Source organism: Homo sapiens, chromosome 18 (assembly GCF_000001405.40).
Source record: "Homo sapiens chromosome 18, GRCh38.p14 Primary Assembly".
Taxonomy (NCBI): domain Eukaryota; kingdom Metazoa; phylum Chordata; class Mammalia; order Primates; family Hominidae; genus Homo; species Homo sapiens.
The window spans coordinates 31,141,485-31,167,657 of record NC_000018.10 but is presented as its reverse complement, the minus strand read 5'-3'; the positions used below and the strand labels follow the sequence as shown (position 1 = coordinate 31,167,657).

At 35.8% G+C, this 26,173-nt stretch overlaps 1 protein-coding gene and 1 long non-coding RNA gene across 3 annotated transcripts in view, besides 1 other annotated feature; one reads left to right on the top strand and one right to left on the bottom strand.

Moving 5' to 3' along the window:
* Nucleotides 279–778: an enhancer, noted in NCBI's record as "H3K4me1 hESC enhancer chr18:28746843-28747342 (GRCh37/hg19 assembly coordinates)". NCBI's record gives its function as "activates a minimal SCP1, AML or CMV promoter by ChIP-STARR-seq in primed H9 embryonic stem cells {active_cell/tissue: H9 hESC(primed)}" and the evidence as "EXISTENCE:reporter gene assay evidence [ECO:0000049][PMID:30033119]".
* The window catches only part of DSC1 (desmocollin 1), a 33,621-nt gene continuing 12,249 nt past the window's right edge, over nucleotides 4,802–26,173 (top strand). For both annotated transcript variants that reach the window (NM_024421.2, NM_004948.3), the window contains exons 1-9: nucleotides 4,802–5,126; nucleotides 8,129–8,213; nucleotides 10,085–10,287; nucleotides 11,496–11,615; nucleotides 12,729–12,884; nucleotides 19,016–19,160; nucleotides 21,881–22,047; nucleotides 23,867–24,001; nucleotides 25,474–25,659. In NM_024421.2, coding sequence (NP_077739.1) covers nucleotides 5,064–5,126; nucleotides 8,129–8,213; nucleotides 10,085–10,287; nucleotides 11,496–11,615; nucleotides 12,729–12,884; nucleotides 19,016–19,160; nucleotides 21,881–22,047; nucleotides 23,867–24,001; nucleotides 25,474–25,659 — 1,260 coding nt within the window. In that variant the 5' untranslated portion in view covers nucleotides 4,802–5,063. The remainder of the gene's footprint in view (nucleotides 5,127–8,128; nucleotides 8,214–10,084; nucleotides 10,288–11,495; nucleotides 11,616–12,728; nucleotides 12,885–19,015; nucleotides 19,161–21,880; nucleotides 22,048–23,866; nucleotides 24,002–25,473; nucleotides 25,660–26,173) is intronic.
* The window catches only part of DSCAS (DSC1/DSC2 antisense RNA), a 61,202-nt gene continuing 39,897 nt past the window's right edge, over nucleotides 4,869–26,173 (bottom strand). The window contains exons 3-4 of the long non-coding RNA NR_110785.1: nucleotides 16,770–16,859; nucleotides 4,869–5,123 (exon numbers count right to left, since the gene is read on the bottom strand). This is a non-coding gene — a long non-coding RNA (DSC1/DSC2 antisense RNA). The remainder of the gene's footprint in view (nucleotides 5,124–16,769; nucleotides 16,860–26,173) is intronic.

Sequence of the window (26,173 nt, the reverse complement as noted above, 5' to 3'; positions counted from 1 at the left end):
GATTACAGTCATTAACATGGTAGCTATATAGAGTTGTCATGACATAGGACAGATTTTATAACTAGGAGAAAGCATGCTACAAAATTACATTCATAGTGCAAGTATAATAATGTTAAAAATTCTATACACAGAAACCGGACTGGAAACATGTATATTAAAAAGATTATCTTTAGTGAGTATATATTACCATGCTTAAAATCAACATTTAATAATGTGATTCTTAATGTATAAGTAATTGATAGTAAGATTCCATCCACATTAAAAAATACTTTTCAAACGTGTAACTTTGAAGACCACCAAAGGAAATAATAATTGGAGAAAATAGCAATAAATAAAAAAAAATCTAAAGTATTTGTTATATTCATTTCACCAGGATTTTAATCCTGAACATCATAGAAACTACTTTAACTAATTTTCAAACCGTACAGTAAAGTGTAAGCTCCATGAAGGGAGATATCATGTCTTCTTCAATTCTGTATAATCAGCACCACTGGTAATACTCAGCATACAGGAGGTGCTAATACATAAGTGATGAATAACTAACTAGTATTATTGAAATAACAATTTGAAACAGTAAGTTTAGTGGACATCTGTTGATTTGCTTGTCTAGTTACTTTTTATCCTTTTTTTCTGTCTAGCCTAGTGTTATCTTTGGGCAGTCACTTCTTCACCACTTTTTGCCCATGTGGTCAGGTCCACCACTTGACTTTAGGTTTATGTAAAAGATTCAGGCCAGAAGGATTGTGTTTTGCTCAAACTATTGGGAACAAGACATATTCTTTCAACAATGACTTGCTAAACCATTCATTGTTGAAATCCTGGAGGTTCTGGTGGTGATCTTTGCCTCCACACTGGGCAAAACTGAAATAATGAAACCAACACAAAAAAAGGCGGAGCTAAGAGATGGAGAGAATTTATGCTTAAATCTGAGTTAGGCTACCCCCAGCCTTCCAGTTACATGACCTAGCAAATCCTTTTGTCCTCAATAATTTTGTTTTGTTTTCTCTTAAGCCAGTTTGAGTTAGGTATGTGGGCTGAATAGAAAGAGTTCTGAACTACCCAGAGATGTGTGCTAATGTTTCTTTTCATAGGTTTGACAACAGTTTTGATAATAATGGGGAGTGATTATTTTATATAAAATTAATCACTATTCTACGCAAACAGCCTTAGGAAATCATTGTTAGTAATTATTAGTGCACATGAGTTACTTCTAAGTTTTAATAGCCCTTTACCCAGGCAAAAGACTGTGAGTCTAGTGAGATTGAAGGAGTTTCCACTGCAGTACACTGAACTCATGGGAGCCAAGCTTTTTTTTTTTTTTTTTTTAATAGCTAACAGTTCTTTTTCTTTGTTCATACACTTCACCCATACTAAACTCACAAACCCTTTTTTTACACCTGTAGTTTTTGGTATATTTAGTCATTCATATTTAACCCAAAGTGCCTTGTAATGGCTTCATCAATGTGTACAGCATTCCTACCAGTCTAGGAGTCTTTTAGAATAAATTAGGTCATCTTACAGAGATAATGGTTCTCTCTGTAAATGGCTTTTTTGAGGCCCTGAATTTATTCATAATGAGCCCTTTCTGTAAGTTGGTCATAAAAAAAATCTCTAATGAAATTTGTCACTGTATTTCCATAAAATATATTATTTAAATTTATAAAAAGGTGTTTTTCCTTGATGTGCCTTAAGGTTAAAAAAAAAAAAACTAAAGAAATACAAGAGTCATGTGGATCTTTACATTTAAATCTTTCTCTGTATGACCATAAATGTGTGGTAGAAAACAGATTATGCAATACTTATGTATTTAAAATAAAATATTTTCTTCTATAGGGGTTTCTCAACATTTAATCATTGTTCTTAATTTCTCTTTAAATGGCTAATATATTTAATATTTGCTGCAGTGCCTCTTTTTATCTTATCTTTTGAACTGGAAAGATAACTGCATGTTCTTCACCATAAAGTGTGCCTTTATTTTAACGTCATAAGATTTCTGTCTTCTTTTTTTCACCCTATATGATGCTTTTCTCCTAGCAAAGGCCAGAGCCCAGTATGTAACCCCTTAACTACTTGTTCAATGAATAAACCTATTCATGTATCTTTAGGTAGCCTCTACATAACAGACCTTGGATTTGCAATAACTTTGTGTTTGTTTCATTTGAAGTTCAGTCTCTTCAACTTTTTATTGCATGCCTAGGCAATTATATGGTGTAAAATATTAGTGCTTGCTCTGAGCCAGACACTGTTGGAAGTATTTTCTTTATAATATCACATTTAATCTTCATAACAACCTATGAATTAGCCACTATTATTGTCCCCATGTTATAAAGAGACCGAGGCACAGAAGAGTTAACTAACTTGCCTAGGGGTTATACTGCGAATAAGTAGTAAAGAGAGGATTTGCACCCAGGCAGTCTAGCTTCTAAGTCCAAGTTGTTAACCACTAACAATCTTTTGCTTAAGCTTATTAATTTAGACATAGGTTAAAACAAACAAACATACAGATAGAAATAAAAATAAAATAGAGCTTGCAGTGGTTTGAATGTCCCTGCCAAAAGTCATGTTGAAATTTTGTTGCCGTTGTAATGGTGTTAGGAGGTGGGACCTTTAAAAGTTGATTATGCCATGAAGTCCCCACCCTCGGGAGTGGGTTAGTTATCATCAGAGTGGACTTCTGATAACTGGATAAGTTAGGCCACTTCCCTGTCTGTCTTGTGCACTGGCTTCTGTCTTCTGCCTTCCATCATGGGATGACCCTCATCAGATGCCCATGCCATGCTCTTGGACTTTCCAGGCTCCTGAACCATGAACCAAACAAATTTCTGTTTTTGTTTTGTTTTGTTTTTTAATAAATTACCCAGGCTATGGTATTTCTTTACAGCAGCAGAAAACAGACTAAGACAGAGCTCTTACTGAATGATCTAATGCCAGAAAATTGGAAGAAATATGTCTTGTTTTCATTTAATTTTAAGGTAGATTCACGTTTAAGGAAGAGTCAATAATTTGTAATAATAAATTATTTTTTCCTATAAAGTGCCTATATTTTATTTTTAGGAAACCTTTGTGTGCAAATACAAAATATGGGAGAAATAGTAATGTAACAGATTTGCAAACCAATAATTTGGGGTTAGCTTTTACACAAGTTTTTCTATTACCTTTGAGAAAGATAGATAATGGGAAAAGAGAGCACGCAGAAAGTAGGCCAAAAGAAGTAGGATCAGAACATCAACTTCCCAGAACTGTGGAGAGTATTCTGGATTCATTTGAATTGAGCAGTGCCTGGAATCTCTTCATCCAACCAATATATGCCATTTTTTCAGTAACACCAATTTAATTTTGCTCTTCTATATCTTCCTAGTTCAGTGGAGAATATCATGTTATAGAAAAAGGTAATGATAACTTCATTAGCTGAAAAAAATGTGTTTCTATTTTCTAGGGTTGGAGAATTTGTCTTTGAATTATTTAAGCTGTATGACTATCTATTTATCTGTCTATCTATCTATCTAAATATATACTTAGATGATGCTTAAACATGCACAGAATTACACTTGGCTGTACACATATACATCTAAGTAATTTTTCTATTTCTATATTCCCATTCTTTTCTCCCAAAACGCCAGATATAAAAATATTCCATTAAAATGACTGTATTTTCTGATTGAGAAATCAAATTCCAATGCAGTCACAAAATATGTTTATTAGTGGGTATACCACTAGCAATAAAATACTACAAGATATCTTTTAGTTTTTTTTCTCCTGGGTCATTCATTTTCCAAATCTTCCTAGCTTCTAATTCTAATGAAGCAGTTACATTTATTTCTGTCTCTACATACAAGGAGAAATTGTTCCCATTGTCAAATAAGCTGAAGAAAACCTTTCTTTCCTCCCTTCTCAGCAGCATGGGTGTTGGGCTCTACCTTAACATTTGAAAATATTTATCCTTCTGTCCTAACTTCCATCACTGCCATTGAGTGCAATTGGTATCACTGAGCTCACTAATTTGGGACAGGAATAATGATGCTAAAGCTCTTGTTAGAGGAATCATTAGGGTTTAAAAAAATCTACACTTGATGGCCTGATTGTACTATTAAGCTAGGATATCCTATGTGTAATGTACAAGTAATTAGGGTGAATAGAGTGATTTTAGAGAGACTTGCTCTCAAAGATTGTAGTTGTCCTTGAAAAAATATAAAGGTAAAAAGCAGTGGCATCTTGTACAACAAAAGGAAAGCCACAAGAAAGATTATATGCTAGCTATTTCTTTATTCTCTTTCTTTTATGAAGTCTTTACATTCTGATAAGTTTCCTGTGACATCTAGAGAACCAACCACAGTGAATAGTCAATAACAGGAAGTAGATACCATGCCTTTATGAAGTTGCTGCTTTAAACTGGAATGCCAGTTCTCTAGCAGAACTACAGTGTTCTACAGGACCGATGACACTTAAATGCTTAGATGGGAGATAACTTCTGATGAGTGTGATTACACACGCTTAGGTCCTCTGATTTGCCAATGGCAGTTGAGGAGGCATCACTTCCTTGCATGGCGTTTGTGCACAATTTATGTTTGTACCCGAGGGCAAGACAGGTTAATAAGGCCAAGAAGGAGGGGAGGCTGTGGGAGTGGGTAATAACTGGGGAGGACTTCACAGCATCAACCTGGGGGAAAGGGAGGAGGGCTGAGGATGAAGGGTGTTCCCTCCTCCTTCTGCCTATGTGTTAAGTGGCAAGAGAAATTTTGAAAGCTGCTGTGAGGAGGAGCTACTGACTGGGTTTTGGGGTGTTTTGTACCCCACCCTCCTCACTTGTAGGAAAGCCTCTTTGCATTTAGACGTAATTGAACTGGAAGGAAGGAGACTGGCCAGGGAATAGGGGGAAAGAAATTCTCCCGTTGCTCCTCCTACTGTTTATCACTTGCCTCCGGACTGTCTTCCAAACCAAGCTCAGCTGCATCAAGGTGGCAGCAGAATACCCTGTGCAAGTGCCAGCGTCTTCTTAGCCGCTCTGTGCATCCCAGGCTGCCCTGTTATCTGGCCACCGTCCCTGGCCATTGGGACTGCTTCTGATGGCTCTGGCCTCTGCTGCCCCAGGGAGCATCTTCTGTAAGCAGCTCCTTTTCTCTCTCCTGGTGAGTAACAACCAAAGGATTAGGGAATTCAAGCATGTTACTACCTGCTTCCTCTCTGCAGTTTGGGCTTGAAAGAGACTAGGAGTGAGGATGGGAGGCAGAGAAGAGAGATTGGGGAAAACAAAAGCAGATCTGAGGAAGATTCAGGGAAGAGTTGAGAGGCTTGGGATTCAGGATGGAAAGTGTTCAGCTTACTTCTCAAGCACCCACTGCCAGAGTGTTAAAAGTTTTCAAGGGAATCCCTCTTCCATCCTGCTGTGGTGATTTTCTAAGAGTAGAGAAGTGAATTCATTCTTTAGGCATTTGGCCCAGAAGTTTCTGAGGTTTACTTCTGCTACCAGTGATTACATAAACTCATGTTATTTAACATGCTGAGTTCTACTAAGCTGCAAAAAAAGAGAAAGGATTCTGGGTGAACATGCAAATTATCCAGGACTTTTTGAATTTTACCCACGAAGCAGTTTAAGCAAAGAATAGTTTAAGAAAAATAACAAAAATGTGACTGTCATTGAAAATATCCTCAACTTGGCTTCCACTTGGGTTTTTAATAGCTTTGTAACTGTGTAAGGTGCTATTTTTTCTTTGGAGGTGAGGGAAGAGAGGGGGGTTATTTCACACATCCGTCCATCATTTCTGAGGTGTGAGTTTCCTATTTTTTCATTTTAGCAAAATACTTGAGTTTCAAAATATATTTTTAGAAATGGCAGGTATGAGGACAAACATTTTCTCCATGTAAATAATATACAATGCAGGGTTGATGGTCACCTTCTCATCCTGTAACTGCTTAGGGAGACGATAACTCAGATACCATCTTAAGTTAGTACAAGTTTGGTAAAATGTGGTAAAAATGTTTCAAAGGATTCTACCCACATTTCTTTTGCTTCTGATCCCTGTACTGTCTAATATCTCTTGGACAATTCATCTCCTGTTTATTTATTTCTGACTCTGAAACTGACTAAAAGGGTGTCACTAAGCCACTTAGTCAGTGATTTAACCTGAAGACGGGAATAGTATTTAATGAATGGAAACCTTCAGTGGCTCTGCCTGCAGAGGGAGGACCATCAACATGGAATCCTAGGACAAGAAGGAAAGAAGATGGGGGTGGGAGTGGAAGTGTGGATATAACTATAAGAATGTCTCATATATTTATATATATATATGTACATTTATATATATATACACACACGCACATATACAGTCATGCTCTGCAAAACAATGCCTCAGTCAATGATGGACTACATATATGAGTGGTCCCATAGATTATAATGGAGCTCGTCTGTATAGGTGAACCATTTTTTATCTTTTATATTGTATTTTAATGTACTTTTTCTATATCTAAAAATGTTTAGTTACACAAATACTTACAATTGCCTACAGTATTCAGTAGAGGAACATGCTGTACAGGTTTGTAGCTTACAATAAGCTATACTATATACTATACACCTAGGCTGTACCATGGTGCATACCATGGGGCATACATATATAAATCATGGTGTATACCATGTAGGTATAACCCAGGTGTGTAGTAGACTATATCCTCTAAGTGTATGTAAGTATACTCTATGATGTCTGCACAAGGATGAAATCACCTAACGTTGCATTTCTTAGAATGTAAGCAATATATGACTGTGTGTATATATATACACACATACACATACATATATAGGTATAGGTATATGTACAGGTATATGCATATGTATGTGTACATATGTATATGTATGTGTTTATGCATAGCCTAATTACAATATGCTGTTTCCACATTGTATACTTAGACAACTATTAACAGTATGGTCTATGCTTAGAAAGTTCTTTAAGTATAATTTATTATGTTCCTTGGCATTAGGGATGAACATATTTAAAAAGTTAAATAAATACGAATGTCTCACGTTTTAAAAAGTGGTTTTTAAATTAGGACTAAATAAAAATGTGGCCTTTTAATTCCAGATTTCTGCCTAACATAGATTTTTGTAAAATTACAAACTATTTAATTAGACTGCTACAGTATATCTGGTAGACTTGAGATGAGCTGGAAAAGAAGTGCACATCCTTAATATGGATGTTAATCCATTCTCTTTCCTCCTCGCAAGTAATGGGTCCCGTAACTCTAGAATTCAGAGAAAAGCTGAAAGCTGATCATAAAATTGACCTACATGTTTCTGGAAAACCTAGCTCTACTCTATCTTATATTTAAATAATAAAAAAGCAGTTATTTTGATAAAGAGGAACAAACAGAAAATGCCAAGAAAAAGAAGTAAAATATATTTTGAACCTATAGACATTTTTGAAATGATAGCTTTTCTTTTGTTTTTTTCAGATAGTGTCTATGTCTTTGAACTACCTAGGTTTTAAAAACAATAGCTGGGCCTTGAATTTAATTAAAAATCTTCACCCATCTGAAGGATACTCTCCATATTTTGACATATATTTCTTTTTAGATTAGTCATGTGATTTGAGATCATTTAGATTTTGGCGTTTTGGCCAAGTCAGTCACAAAATTGATTTGAGAACAATGATTTTTTGGGGGCATTATTTTTCTGTGAGGTTAAAAAAGCCCTTAACTATTTTCTAGACTTCATCAACTATAACTTCAAATAGTAAAATGATGATTAGAGAATTAGGGCATATATGTAATTATGCATTTCAAAGGTAAGTATTTTCTTCATGCTAAAAATCAGAATGGCATTTATGAATGGTCTTAGAGACGTATAACTTCTATATAAAGTCAATGGTTTGTGAAATATTTTCTTGCATTGACACAATATGATTTAGGTTCTAAGAACTACTATTCACTTAATTTTTTTCATTGACAAATAAATGACAGTGCTATTCCTAAAGCTATTCTCTTTGCTGGTTCCTTTTAAAGTGAGTATTAAAAATGTAAAGAATTAAATGATTAATTTGTTTCCAAAATTGACAATATTTTTATCAATAAGAAAAAGCTACAATGTGAAAATTTGTGATCAAATTTAATTCCTGATATTTTTTCTTTTTTTTTTTTTGAGGTTTTAACATTACTTTGCGATGCTTGTCAGAAAGTTTATCTTCGAGTTCCTTCTCATCTTCAGGCTGAAACACTTGTAGGCAAAGGTGAGAAACACTATTAACAGTTTCATAGCTGTAACTTGTCACATTTAGCTGCAGGCTGCTCTTGTAAAGTTTGGGATAAAAACCACATAGTAGGCCGGGCGCGGTGGCTCACGCCTGTAATCCCAGCACTTTGGGAGGCCGAGGCGGGTGGATCATGAGGTCAGGAGATCGAGACCATCCTGGCTAACAAGGTGAAACCCCGTCTCTACTAAAAATACAAAAAATTAGCCGGGCGCGGTGGCGGGCGCCTGTAGTCCCAGCTACTCGGGAGGCTGAGGCAGGAGAATGGCGTGAACCCAAGAGGCGGAGCTTGCAGTGAGCCGAGATTGCGCCACTGCAGTCCGCAGTCCGGCCTGGGCGACAGAGCAAGACTCTGTCTCAAAAAAAAAAAAAAAAACCACATAGTAGCTACTTGAAGTTAAAATCGGATGTACAATAAAAGACAGGCTACTTGTTTTTTGGTAGTGGTTAGAAATAATTAAAATACCAAAGTTAGTTGTATACTTCTCTTGCCAAAAAAATTAGCAAACATCAGAAGGCTCAATTATCTTGGATTACGTCAAACAAAGCAAGGCACCAAAACCAGGAGCATATTCTAATTTGTATAAACTAATCTGCTGCCAAAATTTCAAAGCCAAGATTCTTCAATTGATTAGACATGAAATGGATGTCTCAAAATCTAAATGCCCCCAATAAAATTTGTACTTGAGGTTGATTACAATGAACAAGTATCCACCAAGAATAAATGTGACATATTTCACAGAACAGCTTGTGAAAATCAAATACAGTTTTGGTGGGTCTTAGTACCATAGCCATCTCTGAAGTATAAGTTGGTTGTTCTGAGCCCAAACGTAAAATTTTTTTCATCAAGGTTTTTCACTGGCTTTGCATTCACATGTAAAAAATTACAAACAATACAGAAATGGTATCCTTTCCAAGCCAGATGTTGTTTTGCCCAGTGCTTTAAGGTTTGAAATTAATAAACAGTCCACACTCTAAAGACACATAGTAAATACACTAAATGTGTTAAATATGAATCTGTAAAGGAGGTAATTTGATAATAACCACAGCGCATCGGGTTTACTAAACCTTGAAAGATATTACAGAAAGATTATTTGCAATATTACTGGGAAATATTACTTAAGAATAGACTGGTTTTCTTCTTATTTATTTATTTAGAGACAAAGTCTTGCTCTGTTGCCCAGGCTGAAGTGCAGTGGTGCTATCTCTGCTCACTGCAACCTTCACCTCCCAGGTTCAAGCAATTCTCCTGACTAAGCCTCCTGAGTCGCTGGAATTACAGGTGCACGCCACCATGCTTGGCTAATTTTTGTATTTTTAGTAGAGATGGAGTTTCACCATATTGGCCAGGCTGATCTAGAACTCCCGACCTTGTGATCCTCCCACCTCGGCCTCCCAAACTGCTGGGATTACAGGTGTGAGCCACTTAGTTTTCTTATTTTTGGCAAGATAGTTTTAAGTATCAAACTACTGCAAAAAGTTCAAAACCTACTGACATCATACGGTTATACCACTTATGACATAAAAAATCAAGTTTGTATACACATATATAAATTTATACACACACAATAATTAAGAGTTCAAAGAAAAGAGAATAAAATCAGTGACACTAGGAAAATATTTTATTTCTCAAATTAATGTATGACGAAGGTAGTGGAAAATGTGACTCCATTAATATAATTATTTAATTTTCATGGCCCCCACGTTTTAGAATAGCAGGTGCTGAGCACATTCCAAATGTAACCTCCCTTTTTCTGCTTCTCATGCATTAACTCACGGCTGTCATTCCTGTAAAACTTGTTCCACTCCTGTTTCATCTGACAAACTGCTGTGATATTTCTTCCCTGCAGTGAATCTGGAGGAGTGTCTCAAGTCGGCCAGCCTAATCCGGTCCAGTGACCCTGCCTTCAGAATTCTAGAAGATGGCTCAATTTACACAACACATGACCTCATTTTGTCTTCTGAAAGGAAAAGTTTTTCCATTTTCCTTTCAGATGGTCAGAGACGGGAACAACAAGAGATAAAAGTTGTACTGTCAGCAAGAGAAAACAAGGTATAAGGCAAGGGCTTAAGCAGCCTAGCACAGTAATATGCTTACGGGAGTCCTTCGTGTTTCATGTGTTTTAACGTGTTTCATGTTAAAATCTATGCTATTGAATGACAAATTTGTCTTTTCCACTTACAATTAGTGTAAATAAAGACTAGACTTTTAAGGAGTGGCAGAGCCATTTACAAACTTTTATAAAGATGAATGACTCTGTAGACCAGGAGCAAAGTAAGAATATCAGAGTTTTCTAATAGTGATTTCAAGTTTGGGAATAAGAACAAACCAACCTGAGGAGCAAGGACAAGACAGGGGCGGGTCTAAAACTCAGCGAAATGTGATTCAGGCTGGAGATGTGGGCTCCACCCTGTGCGGCTCTCTTCCCACTGATTGCGGGTTTGAGTCTCTCTTTAAAGAGGAGAAGAGACTGTTTAAAGCTTACTCCCATCTTACTAGAATATTCTATAGGGCAGGCCCTCTCTTCAGAGAGTGGAGGTGTGGCCAATCCACAGAATTGATTTGAATGTTTAACTCTAGGCTCATTTTCTTGCACTGAGCGGTAGAGATCAGTTCAGAAAGCAGGGAGGAAAAAGTTGCTGGAATTCACATCTCATTTTCAGCAAATTCACCACAATGAATTTCGTCTTATAAAACCATTTCTTAATAAATGATTCTATTTAGGAGAGGATTTCCCAACTAAATTCTTTTTGATTGTATGAACTCCTCTTAATATGCTTAAGACTTTAAAAATGTTATTTTATATCCACATTGTAAAATCCCCACATTATATAAAATCAAGTATACTTGAGCAAATGCTGACCTGTGTCTACATAGATGTATAAATGATTGTATTGTGGAGTGAGGGTTTTAACAGATTTTGGTTGTGCCAGTCCTAGTGGAATAAAGTTGATCCTTAAATATTTATTAATGAATTATCTATTTTAGGGGGAGTTTATACTTTCTCAAAGTGGCATCTTTCCAAATGCCCTATACATTTCCTGGTGGTTAACTGAGTAAATAGAGAAATAGGTAGAACGGGGGAACATAATGTAGTCTGAGGTGTGTGTGTGTGTTTTATCAATAGAAATGCTTTGCTGACTAGCCATGATATTGTAATGTGTAACCCTTACATCTGCTTGTTGATGTATGTGTAAAATAATCACAGTTCCAAAAAATGATAAGCAATGCTACATTTCTTTGTTTCTTGTCAAATGTAGTCTCCTAAGAAGAGACATACCAAAGACACAGCCCTCAAGCGCAGCAAGAGACGATGGGCTCCTATTCCAGCTTCATTGATGGAGAACTCGTTGGGTCCATTTCCACAACACGTTCAGCAGGTGCATTTCACTTATTTGATTTTATATGTGTCCAAATTTTTTTTTGTTCTTAAACTTTTCATTTGAATTGCACAGCATATTGAATCAGAGGTTTAAACTAATGGTACAAATAATGATCATCTATTCACCAGAACTAGGGTCCCATAGAAGTGACCCAGTATATCTTATTACTTTCTTACAGATATCATATTTAGAAATTTAGAAACAAGTTTTATATTTGGAGTTTCTGGTGCTCTTAGGTCTATGTCTAAATTCACCCAAATACTATGCTAGACTTGTTAACACTAATGTACAGAAGGCACACCTACATGTTTTGCATAGTTCAATTCTTGCTTAAACTAACACTCATCTTTTATAAAAATGACCTGTATTTCTGCTTACCAAGTAAGATTGCCTCACTGCCACATAGCTGGATTGCAAACATAGAACAGTTTTGAAATTTTGGAGTATAGTGGCATCAGCTCAGCTCACCGCAACCTCTGCCTCCTGGGTTCAAGCGATTCTCCTGCCTCAACCTCCCGAGTTGCTGGGATTACGGACACCCACCACGAAGCCCAGCTAATTTTTGTATTTTTAGTAGAGGCAAGGTTTCGCCATGTTGACCAGTTTGGTCTTGAACTCCTGATCTCAGGTGATTCACCTGCCTAGGCCTCCCAAAGTGCTGGGATTACAGGTGTGAGCCACTGCGCCCGGCCAAAATTTTCTAATTCTTGAGGAATTAATTGTGGAAGAAAAGTTGCTTTACTTCTAGTTTTATTATCACATAATTTTCAATTCCAAAGAATTCAAAATCACGGAAACTGTTACTATTATTTATATGAAGATAAGAATAAATAGATAAAACTTGAAAAGTGTATTACTCTACATGTTTTATAGATATACAAATGACAAAAAAGTTGAGATCAAATAAGTGACAGAATTTGTGGCTTTGCACAATGCAAAATGCAAATAAAAATTCGGAAAACATGGCAGATAATGGGCACCTAAGCAGAAGAAAGAAAGAATAGGAGAGTAGGAAAGAGGGGTAGTGGTAAAAAAATAAACCATCACAAGAGGTTAGGTTGAAAATATTCATCATGACGTATTTGTTCTATTCCTAAATTATTACTGCAGATCCAATCTGATGCTGCACAGAATTACACCATCTTTTATTCCATAAGTGGGCCAGGCGTGGACAAAGAACCCTTCAATTTGTTTTACATAGAGAAAGACACTGGGGATATCTTTTGTACAAGGAGCATTGACCGTGAGAAATATGAACAGTTTGCGGTAGGATTATTGAAATATTTATTCATAATTATATCTTTATTACTGGCTTACTAATATTTTCAACTATGCTTGTTTACATATTATAAGAATCAATTATTTGATTTAATATTCAAGATATTAATATGCAATATAAACTTTAAATTTCTATTCACCATTGATGGGGAAAAACAGTGGATATAATAAGGGAAGTGGCGGGGGAGGTAAAGAAAATATAACGATGGAATTTTAAAGGATATATTTTGGTCTGTAATCCTGGAGAAATAACAAAGAGTTTTACTGAATTTAAAGTTATCCATAATAAAATGACTCAGTTATTCTCAACCATGGCTGTACATTATAAGTCATGTGAGAACTTGAAAAAAAATACTGATGCTTGGACCCATGCCCAAGTATTCTGATTTAATTGTTCTGGGATGAGATCCAGTCATCCAACGTGATTCTAAATGTGTAAGTGTTGGATCCACTGCCTTAGCCCCTTACATAGCTTTTTTTTTTTTGCATCCCTTTCTCTCACTATTCTTCAGCAATGAGATCCCTTAGTACCATTTTACTTCCTTAGTAACCCAGAACAAGTTTATCAATTCATTTGATTCTATCTTATCCTACCCAAAGACAAGACAATTCTAACTCTTCTGATAATTAAATCCTTTTGTTTCTGTTAATTTTATATAACTCTTTGGTGGACTGATGTCTCATCTGATGAAATGAGATATTCATAGTAGGTTTTTGGAATGGTGGTGAATAAAACTGATTAAGCATTTATTGTCTTGAATGATATAAGAGTATAATAAAGTTCTTTGCTAAAGGAGAATATAAAAATGAAACTTATCTCATACTTGGGCAGTTCAGAGAGTAATATCTTAGCAGACATCTGGAGAATGAGTAGTAGTTAGTGGCCACCTCAAGGCAGTTATGAAAGAAGTTAACAATTGTGGGGATGGGAAGTGGTAGACAAGTATTCCAGGAAGATGCATCAGAAATGGAAATATTTACTTGTTAAAAAGAAATCAACAACAACAACAAACCCTGGCTGAAGTGTAATTTGAAGCTAAGGAAGAGTGTGAAATATGAAGCTAGTAAGTAAAAAATAGAGAGGGAAAGACCTTATAATTTATCCTAAGGAGTAGATTCTATCGTAAGGATATCCTCCAAAGCAGTCTATAAGGTAGTGAAAAATTTGAAACTGTATAAATTTTCCACTTTAGATGTTTCATAATTAAATACAAAATTCATGGTGGGATTGTAGTGGCATATTTTCTTTATAATTTTATGTTCCCTTCCAAATTCTCTAGAATAAACATATTTTACTTCTAGTAATATAACACACTTTTACTTTAAAAAATAGTGTATCCAAGTTCTTACAGGAGAAGTAAGCTAAGCACCATTGCAATCACTTTGATCTTTCTACTCATAAACAAATAAATAATTGATAGTAAGTTCTCTGCTGCTTTTACAGTTTCTTTACTAGAGAAAAGATCTAACACTAGAAGTCACTCTTGAGGAGATATAAAAAGCTCATACTCTGTATGTTGCAATATTCACTTCATTTTCAATTTTGCTGAGGAATTGTTTGATAGGGTTCTGTTTGCCAACCTGCTTTCTATCTTTGCTTCTTACTGTGATCATTGCCAGAGGGAAAAGGAGAGAACAGTTTATAATTAAAAATAAGTTACTTTGCTATTTTTAACATTTAAAAAAATGTAAATGAATAAAATAGGTTGAAATTTATCCTCAAAGTTAAACTTTTAAATAATTTCGCCTCAGAATTACCCATGTTTCTGTAGGTCCCATTAACACAGTTAAGTTTGAATTGGCATTAAGAAACACCACTTGCAAATTAGTAAAATTCATTAAGTGAGGTATAGCAACAAGATGTAAACCTGATGCAATTATAAAATCACTTGAAGCAGGATAGAATAGAAGACTTCCCTGTCAATGCAGAGGTTAAAATAAGATAATATGTTTTTAACGTAATATACTTTAATAATAGTTTAAAATATTGAATAATGTATGTTTCTGGGAATTGGTAGATCCTAAGTATCTGTTCCTTTCCTTGTAGCCTCAAACAAATCACAACCTCCTAGAGTTCGCTTTCTTCTTTGTTTATGGGCTGCTAGTAGCTGTGTTCCCAACCTCAGTAGTGTTCTGATCATTAAATGCCGTAATACCAGTGATACCACTATGTAAACTGTAAAAGTTGTTGAAGATATTCTAATGGTAGATTTAACAATACACGTGTTCTAGAATTTTGTCCTTAAACCTGGGAATTTTCATGGAATTTCCTAATTCTTTGATTTTATATAAGCCATATTCATGTTAAGTATTAATAATAGATTATTTTTATTTGAAATAATTTGATTTCGTAGCTTTGGGAGTAGTAGCCATAGGTCTAATTCAATACATATTCAAAGAATAGTTATATAAGAAGGGAACTTTCTTCAACAATTCCAAGTGATGCTGTGAAAGCAGCTGCAAACTTCCTTTCTCTCTGAGTGTTGGGGATAATCTGTACCTTTGGAAAAGTTAGCTTCAATCTGCTCCTTTCTTACCTATTCCTATTCAACCAGAACCTTACTATCTTTTATTATCTTGTTTTTTTTTGTTGTTTTTTTGATATAGGGTGTCACTCTGTCTCCCAGGCTGGAGTGCAGTAATCCGATCTCGGCTCACTGCAACCTCTGCCTTCTGAGTTCAAGCAATTCTCCTGCCTCAACCTCCCGAGTAGCTGGGATTACAGGCGCCCACCACCACGCCCAGCTAATCTTTGTATTTTTCGTAGAGACAGGGTTCCACCATGTTCGCCAGGCTGGTCTCAAACTCTTGGCCTCAGGTGATTCACCCACCTCGGCCTCCCAAAGTACTGGGATTACAGGTGTGAGCCACTGTGCCCGGCCTCTTGTAATGTTTATTTTCTCTTCTGGGCACACAAGTCGATTAATTCTCTTCATATATGTGCTGTTAATTCACATTCTGTACCCACTCAGCTTTGGTGTTACTGCTCTCTCCTTTCTCTGCCCCATCTACTGAATGCCTGCCACTGTAAGGCCAAACTCAAGTCCCTATTTCTGTCAGTAGCTGTTTGCATTTTTCCAAAGATGACAGCAATTTCAGCAATATATAGTGTGAAAGGGCTAAAAGAGATGAGATTCTTTAAGCTATAGAATAATTCAGAGGAAACTATATCACAATAACACGCACATGACACTAAATAACCCACTTATAACCTAGCTAAAAATACAACTAATAATATTCTAAATTATTTTTTATTGTAACAACACTTAAGTATATTATTATTGCTTTTAATACAGAATGATGGATATAGTAATAAAACCATTACCTCTATTGAGTTTTTTGAAATTGTTGCTTTGTTGACTAAATAACATATTTATAATGAGTTACTCTATCATATGAACATAAGTCAATTCTCCTAGAGAGTTAGGCTCTGTTTTAATGATGATTCCAATTTTGATTTATTTTGGAGATACTTGGTTCATTATTAGCACAATAAAACAAAACCAGGATACTACCTGAAGTAAAATCACCAACTCTGAGTCAGCGGAATGTGAAATAATATTTACTTGTAGTCAAATAACAAAAATATTATTTCAAATTACAAATGAGCATATGGTGGGAAGCAGATGATCTTCATTTCCATTGAAGAGAAAAACTAAGACAAATTAGTCTAAATTATAGCAGTGTGGACTTAGTAGGTTGGATAAGGAGACTTGTTAATACCATTTTAATGAGGTAGAAAAATTCATTACAAGAGATGCAATAGAATCTTTATGACAATTTTTACAGAAGGATAACTGAAGGCGTAGTTTGTCTTCCTAAAAGGAAAGATGAGTAGAATTGAATGCAAAGAGCTATTTATTGAAGACTTACCCAAGGTAAGGCAGTGTGTTACTGTGTCAGGTACTTCTAGGATACACGTATCAGTAAGTCTCAGTCTTCAAGCCTGACAGCAACTGTAATCTAATAGAGATATAAAACCATTTTATAGTTTTATCCAGCTAAAATATCAAAATGACAGCATTTTAAGGAATAAAAATCCACATCATCTATACGAAGAGAAAGGGAAGGATTTTTAGGAAGGGTGACTGATGTTGATACCTGGATGTGCTGGTAGTGATGATGATAATGATGATGTGACAGTGGTAGTGGTGCTGATGATAGTGGTGGTGGTGACGGTGGCGATGATGATGACGGTGGTGGTGGTGTTGGTGGTGGTAGTGGTAGCGGTGATGATAATGATAATGGTGATGATGGTAGTGTGGTGATGATGGTGCTGATGATGATGCTGGTGATGATGATGGTGGTGGTGGTAGTGGTGGTGATGGTAATAGTGGTAGCAGTGATGATGTGGTGGTGGTGATAATGGTGGTGATGGTGGTGATGATGGTGGTGGTGATGATGGTGGTGGTGGTGGTGATGGTAGTGGTGGTGGTGATGATGGTAGTAGTGGTGGTGATGATGGTAGTGGTGGTGGTGGTGATGGTAGTGGTGATGATGATGGTGGTGGTGGTAGTGGTGGTGATGATGGTGGTAGTGGTGGTGATGGTGGTGGTGGTGGTGATGATGATGGTGGTGATGGTAGTGGTGGTGATGGTGGTGGTGGTGATTGCGATGATAATGGTGATAATGGTGGAGATGGTGGTGATGGCAGTGTCATGATGATGATGGAGCTGCTGCTGATGGTGGTGGTGATGATGGTGGTGGTGGTGGTGGTGATGATGATGGTAAGTGGTGATGATGATGGTGGTGGTGGTATGGTGAAGTGGTAATGATAGACTACTGTATTCCACTCCTGAATTTAGAATTTATTGATAAATAAGATATAGAGATCAGACTGATGGAAGCCATAATGTAAGTTTTGTTACTGAAAAATACCACCTGGAAGTTACTTGGAGAAAAATGAGTAGGAAGGCAGAGAGAACATGAATGGTTATTTTAATACATTCCATTCCAGAGTTTGGAGTGTACATTCTTTCCTTTCCAGGTTAGCACGAACAGTGAACATGAAATGTTGCCTTTTAACACAATAATGAGGATTTTGTGGTTAATTTAGCAGTTAGTGGGTAAATCACTGACGAGTCTGATTAGTGAGTATCGTGGTTAAAATTGTAAAGCACAATAAAATCTGACTTCTGAGGCCACATCGATTAGAACAGGGAATGTCAGAACAACTGCAGCAAAGTTAGTGAGTCAACATGTAGAATGCATTTGGAGTCACCTGAAAATGATGGCAGTGGGAATAGAAAAGAGAACATGCATGACACACACAAAAATGCCAAAATCTCTAGAACTTGGCAACTGACTACTAAGGCTTATGAGAGAGAGGGAGGAGTTTGATGCCTGGAATTTTAATCCTAGTTCACTTAGAAGTGGTTACAGTAGGGAAAATTAGAAGAGCTAGTTGTGGTAAAAAGCTGAGTTAATGCAGAATTCACTTTGGGTAGGTTTAGTTGTTCCCATGAGGGATGAAAATCCATTCAACAACTATTTGCTGAACACTTACTATGCACAAACCACATAAGGAAGGTGTAGGAATAATTTGGAGTTTAAAGGCAAAGGACATTAAATACATACTGGCTGTTGGGGACAAGGCATTCATTTTGAAATGGAATTTCTGGTATGTATATGCTTTTATTAACATTTTTATTGCAAAGAAATACATGCTTACCATAGAAAAATGAGAAAATATAGGTAAAAAACATATAATTGAGTTCCTGAAATAGTTGTGATGTCCATTTATTTGTATGTATATATACATCTGTACATAAATAGAATTGTATTTTTATAAACTTTAAAAACACGTGTTAATGACATAGTTGGGGAAAATCTACATGCATTCTAACAAGTAAAACAGCATACAGTTAATTCAGAGAACAACTGGAGTGCATGGTGCTTAGAGTGGGAGAATAATGAGCAATAACGCTGAGAGGGGATTGAAATCACATGGCAGGCAGAGACTGCATCTGTGGGTTATCTCTCTATTGCATCATTTCTTAGTTACGGGTCTTTGGGAATGATTTTTTTTTTTAATGTTACATTTTCCCCCACTGCTAGGCTTACTTTTGTGCATAATTTGTGGTTTGAGAATACATTGATGGTATTTTCCCTTCTTTCAGTTATATGGCTATGCAACAACTGCAGATGGCTATGCACCAGAATATCCACTCCCTTTGATCATCAAAATTGAAGATGATAATGATAACGCCCCATATTTTGAACACAGAGTGACTATCTTTACTGTGCCTGAAAATTGCCGATCCGGTAAGTTCACATTTTATTGTAGCATGACAAGAAGACTATTTGACATTTCGTAAGTATTATAATTAAAGATGTTTACGTTTTATCATTGCATTTTATGCATTTTCTGGTATTTCTGATTACATACACTTTTTTTCCCATTAGGAATTGATGTTATATGACATTGCTATTAAGGGTGGTAATTGACTCTGAGCACACTTTCTTAAATTTAAGCATATTCATATGATAAAATATTATACATTTTTCCCTTTTATATCATGATTTTATAATTCTGGCAGCATTTATTTGACTAAATTCTCTCCAGGGTGGGGTTGTTGCTGAAGTTGGTGTTTGGTTTACCAATGCATGCTTAGAAAGTCTGGAGTGAAGGAAATATTGCTCAATTTTGCCATTAGGAAAAGTTGTTGTTCAGTATAAAAGGGACTATACCCAGAAATCCATAGAGAATATTACAGGGGATTTACACGTGGGCCAGGGATCATTTTTTCTTCCAACAAAGTAAGAGGTTATTTTTTCATTCATTCATTCATTCATTCAGTGGTTTTTTAAAAAGTGTCATTTAAGGATATATAGAAGCCTAAATGTAGGAAAAATTCAACTTTTCCTTCAAAGCAAGAAAAATACTCCAAAAAAAGTGATGTAATCAAACATACAGGAATGTCTATTTTATGGTGCCAAGGAATTTTTTTTTAACAGACATTTGAAATTCAAAGGATTTGACTTTTGTAGGCTATGTATGTGTAGTACCAGTTTATATTAAAATCTTATAATATCAGTGTTGTTTTCCTGAATTCTCTTTATTAAATGACTGTTGGGTATTAGCTTTCATTTTAGCCTAGCTTTGTAACCAGCGTTTAGGATGATGGCAATTTTAGGAAAACACTAGATTTTTGCTTCCATTGAATTCCTTATTAATATTTTAAACACAATTATGTAGAACATTTTTAAATGCTTGACTTTCAAGGATATACTACATAAAACGTTCTAGTTTTATGAGGTTATATACTTCTCAAAGGAAAACCTTTCTGTGCTCATCTTGCTACCCACATATAGAAGGCAGCTAATTGATACATAAAGTTACTAACTGGTTAGATTAGTACACAACAGATCTGAATGTGCAACAGACAAATGCCATTCATATTAAATATAAAGATATTTTATATTTTTACCATGTACATATGTGTCACAGGTGCGTTTATGAAACAGTACGTAATTTGAATCTTTATAAAGTTTCAATACATTTTCAAGGAACCAGAAATATATCATGGCATGGAAATATCGATCTGATAAATAAAACATATACATTGCCTTTTTTGGCATATCTTCCAAACAAAATGAAAAAAAAAATTAAACTGATTTGATGCTATGTGCAGCCAAGTCTGTGACCCAAGACTACTAAGGGGTATAACAAGACTGACTACTTTGTTTTAAAATGTTGCAAGAACAGTTGTTATTTCCTGTGGCCTCCTCCATTCTGTTTCCATGTACATATGTGTGAATAATATTGCTGTTTCACAATACTAATGCAATGTGTCTAATACTCTCATGTCTGGACTATGAAGCTTGTCTAAATGATACATAGACTACTCCCTATGATTTTGTCTTGCATATATTAATAGTTATTTGTATACATTAATAATTTATCACATTTATTAAAGTACAAAGCATAAAATATTTGTTATTACATGAAAAGATGTGGTATTCCTCTGATTAACTTTATCAAGTTGGGTTATAAAAGAGGCAAGGTATGCAGAGAAGGTCCCATTCAAAAATGGTCCATGAACACTTATATGCCATTGGTGAGAATGTAAATTAGTTCAGCCCCTGTGGAAAGCAGTTTGGAGATTACTCAAAGAACTAAAAACAGAGCTACTATTTGAGCCAGCAATGCCATTACTAGGTATATACCCAAGGGAAAACAAATCATTCTACCAAAAGACACTTGCACTTGTATGTTTGTTGCCACACCATTCACAATAGCAAAGACATGAAATGAATCCACGTGCCCTTCAATGGTGGATTGGATAAAGAAAATGTAGTACACAAATGCCATAGAATACTATGCAGCCATAAAAAAGAATAAAATCATGTCTTTTGCAGCAACATAGATGCAACTGGAGGTCATTATCCTAAGCAAATTAACACACAAACAGAAAGCTAAATACCACATGTTATCACTTATAAGTGAGAGCTGAACATTGGGTACACATAGACACAAAAATGGGAACAACAAACAATGGGGATTCCAAAAGGTGGGAGGGAAGGAGGAGGGAAGGGGCTGAAAACTACGTATTCGGTACCACATTCACTACGGGGGTGGTGGGATCATTAGAAGCCCAAACCTCGGTATCGCACAATATACCCCTGTAACAAACCCGCATGTGTACCCCCAAATCTAAAATTAAATTAAGTTAAATTTAAAAATAGCCCGTGAACTTAGAGAGAAAGAATTTCAGAACTACTGTTTCTAAGGGTAGTGTGGGAACTGTTCTCATCTATGTAGAATATGAATCATGTTATTCACAGGGGCCACCTAACTGAAGTTCCCGAGTAAGGGAGGCTTGGAGACATTTAGAACAGTTTCACATTCGTCAACTTAACAGTAGAACTAATCTACTTGTGGTTTGGGGGAGAATTTGCTACAGCAATGCCTTGATTTTATTTTGTTTATAATTCAATTATATGAGTAGAAATTTTTGACACTTTTGGATTTATCTAAACAGGAACTTCAGTGGGAAAAGTGACCGCCACAGACCTTGACGAACCTGACACTCTCCATACTCGTCTGAAATATAAAATCTTACAACAAATCCCAGATCATCCAAAGCATTTCTCCATACACCCAGATACCGGTGTCATCACCACAACTACACCTTTTCTGGATAGAGAAGTAATGATGATTAATTAACTATCTAGTCATTGAACTACATTTAAACTGAGAATGAACTCCCGAGAGAAGTTGCAATATGGCCAGTCTGGCCTCCTTTCTCAGCATGCTTCTGTAGGCTGCGGTTAGGGCTTCTCTGGAGATGTCCTCGGTCCTTAGAGATGTTGGGAAAGTACCATATATTAGACAGGGCCTCACTTGAAATCACTAACCTGATTTGATTTGTTGATGATAAAATTGCTTTACATTTATTTTATTTTTGTTTTAAAAAATACTTTTATCTGGCTCCAATATGCTTAACTTTTTAAATTCATAAAGTTTGTTGTAGCAACTTTGGGTTCACAGCACAATTTAGTAGAAAGTACAGACGGGGGCCAGGCGCGGTGGCTCACGCCTGTAATCCCAGCACTTTGGGAGCCTGAGGCGGGCGGATCATGAGGTTAGGAGATGGAGACCATCCTGGCTAACACCATGAAACGCCGTCTCTACCAAAAAAATCCAAAGAAATTAGCCGGGCTTGGTGGCGGGCGCCTGTAGTCCCAGCTACTCAGGAGGCTGAGGCAGGAGAATGGCGTGAACCCGGGAGGCGGAGCTTGCAGTGAGCCGAGATCGCGCCACTGCACCCCAGCCTGGGTGACAGAGCGAGACTCCGTCTCAAAAAAAAAAAAAAAAAGAAAGAAAAAGAAAATACAGACGGTTCCCATATACTCCCTATCCCTCCCAACACACATAGCCTTCCCTGCTATCAACATCCTGCCCCACGGTGTTATATTTGATACAACTGATACATTTATGTTGACACATCATTATTACACATCATTATTACCTAAAGTCCATAGTTCTCACATTGTGGTTCACTCTTGGTGCTATATATTCTATGAGTTTGAACGAATGTGTAAAGACACACATTCATCATTATAGTATCATCCAGAGTGGTTTCACTGCCCTAAAAATCCTCCTATTGAGGATTATTTTGCTTCTGTAGTGCTTCTCCTATTGATGCCTTCTTCTCTCTTAATTCCTGGCAACCACTGATATTTTTACTGTCTCTATATTTTGCCCTTTTTTAGAATGTCATATAGTTGAAATCATATAGTATGTAGGCTTTTAAGATTGGCTTCTTTCATTTAGTAATATGCTTTTAAATTTCTTTCATGTCTTTTTAAGTCTTGATAGCTCTTTTCTTTTTAGCACTGAATAATATTTCATTGTCTGGATGTACCAGTTTATTTACCTACTGAAGGACATCTTGGTTGTTTTCAAGTTTTGGCAATTATAAATAAAGCAGCTTTAAATTTTAAAATGTTACATTAGACACATCACCTTTCCATTGTACCAATCAGCCAATATCTTGTTCTGTACTTTATTTTTTTTTAACAAAATTATACGTAAAAGGAATATTTGGGCCAGGCACAGTGGCTCACACCTGTAATCCCAGCACTTTGGGAGGCCGAGGCAGGCAGATTGCCTAAGCTCAGGAGTTCGTGACCAGCCTGGGCAACACAGTAAAACCCTGTCTCTACTAAAAATACAAAGATTAGCTGGGTGTGGTGGTGGGCGCCTGCACTCCCAGCTACTCTGGAAGCTGAGGTAGGAGAATTGCTTGAACCTGGGAGGCAGAGGTTGCTGTGAGCCAAGATCATGCCACTGCACTCCAGCCTGGGTGACAGTGAGACCCCATCTCAAATAAATAAATAAATATATAAAAGAAAAAGTAAAAAAGAATATTTGTACAATAATCGTGCCTAAACAAGTGGTTGTGAGAATTGCAAGTTATAGGAAATAAAAGTGTTCATTAATGTAGTTTTTTCCTTTTTTTCAGAAATGTGATACTTACCAGTTAATAATGGAAGTGCGAGACATGGGTGGTCAGCCTTTCGGTTTATTTAATACAGGAACAATTACTATTTCACTTGAGGATGAAAATGACAATCCACCATCTTTCACAGAAACTTCTGTGAGTATACCTCTCTATTCATTCATCTAGATTTATCTACTTTTTCAAAAAACATGTCTAGAATTTGGTAGCTCTGTGAGATCACAAAGTTTGACAGTTTGATTTAAATAACTACTACTTACAAATAACATAGGGAGAAAAATATGATTTCTGTACAAATAATTGAAGTACTAGTTATTTCTGGATGCTAGGGAAATAACCATGCTCTTGGCTACCGAAGAGCTTCTTAGCCCTAGACGTAGCTCATGTGTTAAACTTTTATTTTATTTTATTTTATTTTTTTGGTGTTAAGCTCTGCTACCAGATTCCTTGGCATTAAATCTTTATGTAGGGTGAAGGAGGAGAGGCTCTCTCTCTGGTGTCCTTTACATTTCAACTTCTTAAGATAAGTAAGGAACTAGCCTACGGAGACAGTAGTACAGGCTGGCTCACAACTCCAAACAAGCTCTTCCTGTACCATGAGTAAACTTTTCCTTAGGCGGTAAACAATAAGAGATATATATAAATATATATATGTGTGATGTGTGTGTTTGTGTACACATATATATATTTATATTTTTATGACAATAGTTTCAGGAAATGGTTCTCCTTTCCTGAACTTTTGATAAATAACCTTTCATTTTTTCATTAACTTATTCCAGAGCACAAGTCAAAGAAGGAAAAACCTGCAAGTACAGTGATAGACATGTTCATGTAATTTCTTACATGAATCCCTACAATATATGAGGATATATTTTACCTCATATTTCATATGAGGAAATAGAAAGTCTGTTAAGTCAAGATCTCATACTAATAAACCATATACAAGGAATAACCAGGATTCAAATCTAGGTCTATTACGCTCCAGTGTCTATCATCCTCCTATATGAATTCACCTTCTATCTCTAACAGATTCAATTTACTACTTCTTTTAGTCTTTAATATCTTATGCTTTTGTAATAATATTTTTGTGGAGGGCTATTGTTTAATGTCTCAAAAAAAAAGGAAAACTTTTCTGCTAAAGGTTTGCAAGTGAATCAAAAGTACATTTGGAAACACTGGTGTGAAAACAATTCTCCAGAAATAAGAAGCCAACATACGTTTATAATTACCTACAAGTACTGAGTGTTTAATATATTAACATAAGACATTTATTAAGTGTTTACTGTGTAAAAATGGGAGAGGATAGACTGTAAATATTGTAGAGGTGCAGAGAAGAGATAAATCTGAGGTCTAGAATGATTAGGAAAATTATCTCAGAGAAGTTCAGAAGATAAGACTTGGGGTAGCCTTTGAAGAATGGAAAAGATATGAAAAGGCAATTCAGGAGGAAAGAACTAAGCTACGCATTAAATTTGTAAAATGTTTCCCCATATAGTGAGGGCAGCTTTTCACATCACTTTATTTATTTTTTTCTTTAAATACGTGTTTTAGAATATAAAGCTACATTGTCAAAGTTGTAAATTGATAATAATAAGGGGCAATTCTTTCAGTATGTTACAGAAGTAGAAGAAAACAGAATTGACGTGGAGATTTTACGAATGAAGGTACAGGATCAGGATTTGCCAAACACTCCTCACTCAAAGGCTGTATACAAAATCCTACAAGGAAATGAAAATGGAAACTTCATAATTAGCACAGATCCAAATACAAATGAAGGAGTGCTGTGTGTTGTCAAGGTAAACAAATAAAATAATCAGGCTATGCTTTAAAATATCCTAACTCACGCACTGATTTTAAGAGATAATTCTTATATGTATATGACTAGACTACTGCAGTGCAAGGCCAAATGATTTATATTGGTTTATATAAACTTTGTTGTTTCTTATTCTCTTACCCTAATTTTCTCTCTTAGAAGAAAGTCATGTCAGGTACAAAACTCATTGTTCTCTATATGAAGAAAACCAAGACAGAGAAATATTGAATACTGAACCAGATATTTGCTTTAGAAGGGGTCTTAGACACTTACTTGTCCACATTTCTTTTTTATAAGAACACAAAAGAAGAAAATGGAAGAATCACTATTTGAAATCAAGCCTCAACTTTTCAACTCCTTTCATGTTCATAGTACATTTTATTTTTACCTCTCTATGATGTATTCTGTAAAAGAGACTATTGAACTAAATATTCAGCAACTTTTCCCATTAATCCCCCTATATTCCAGGTAGCCATTGCTTTGGATTTTTTAAATTT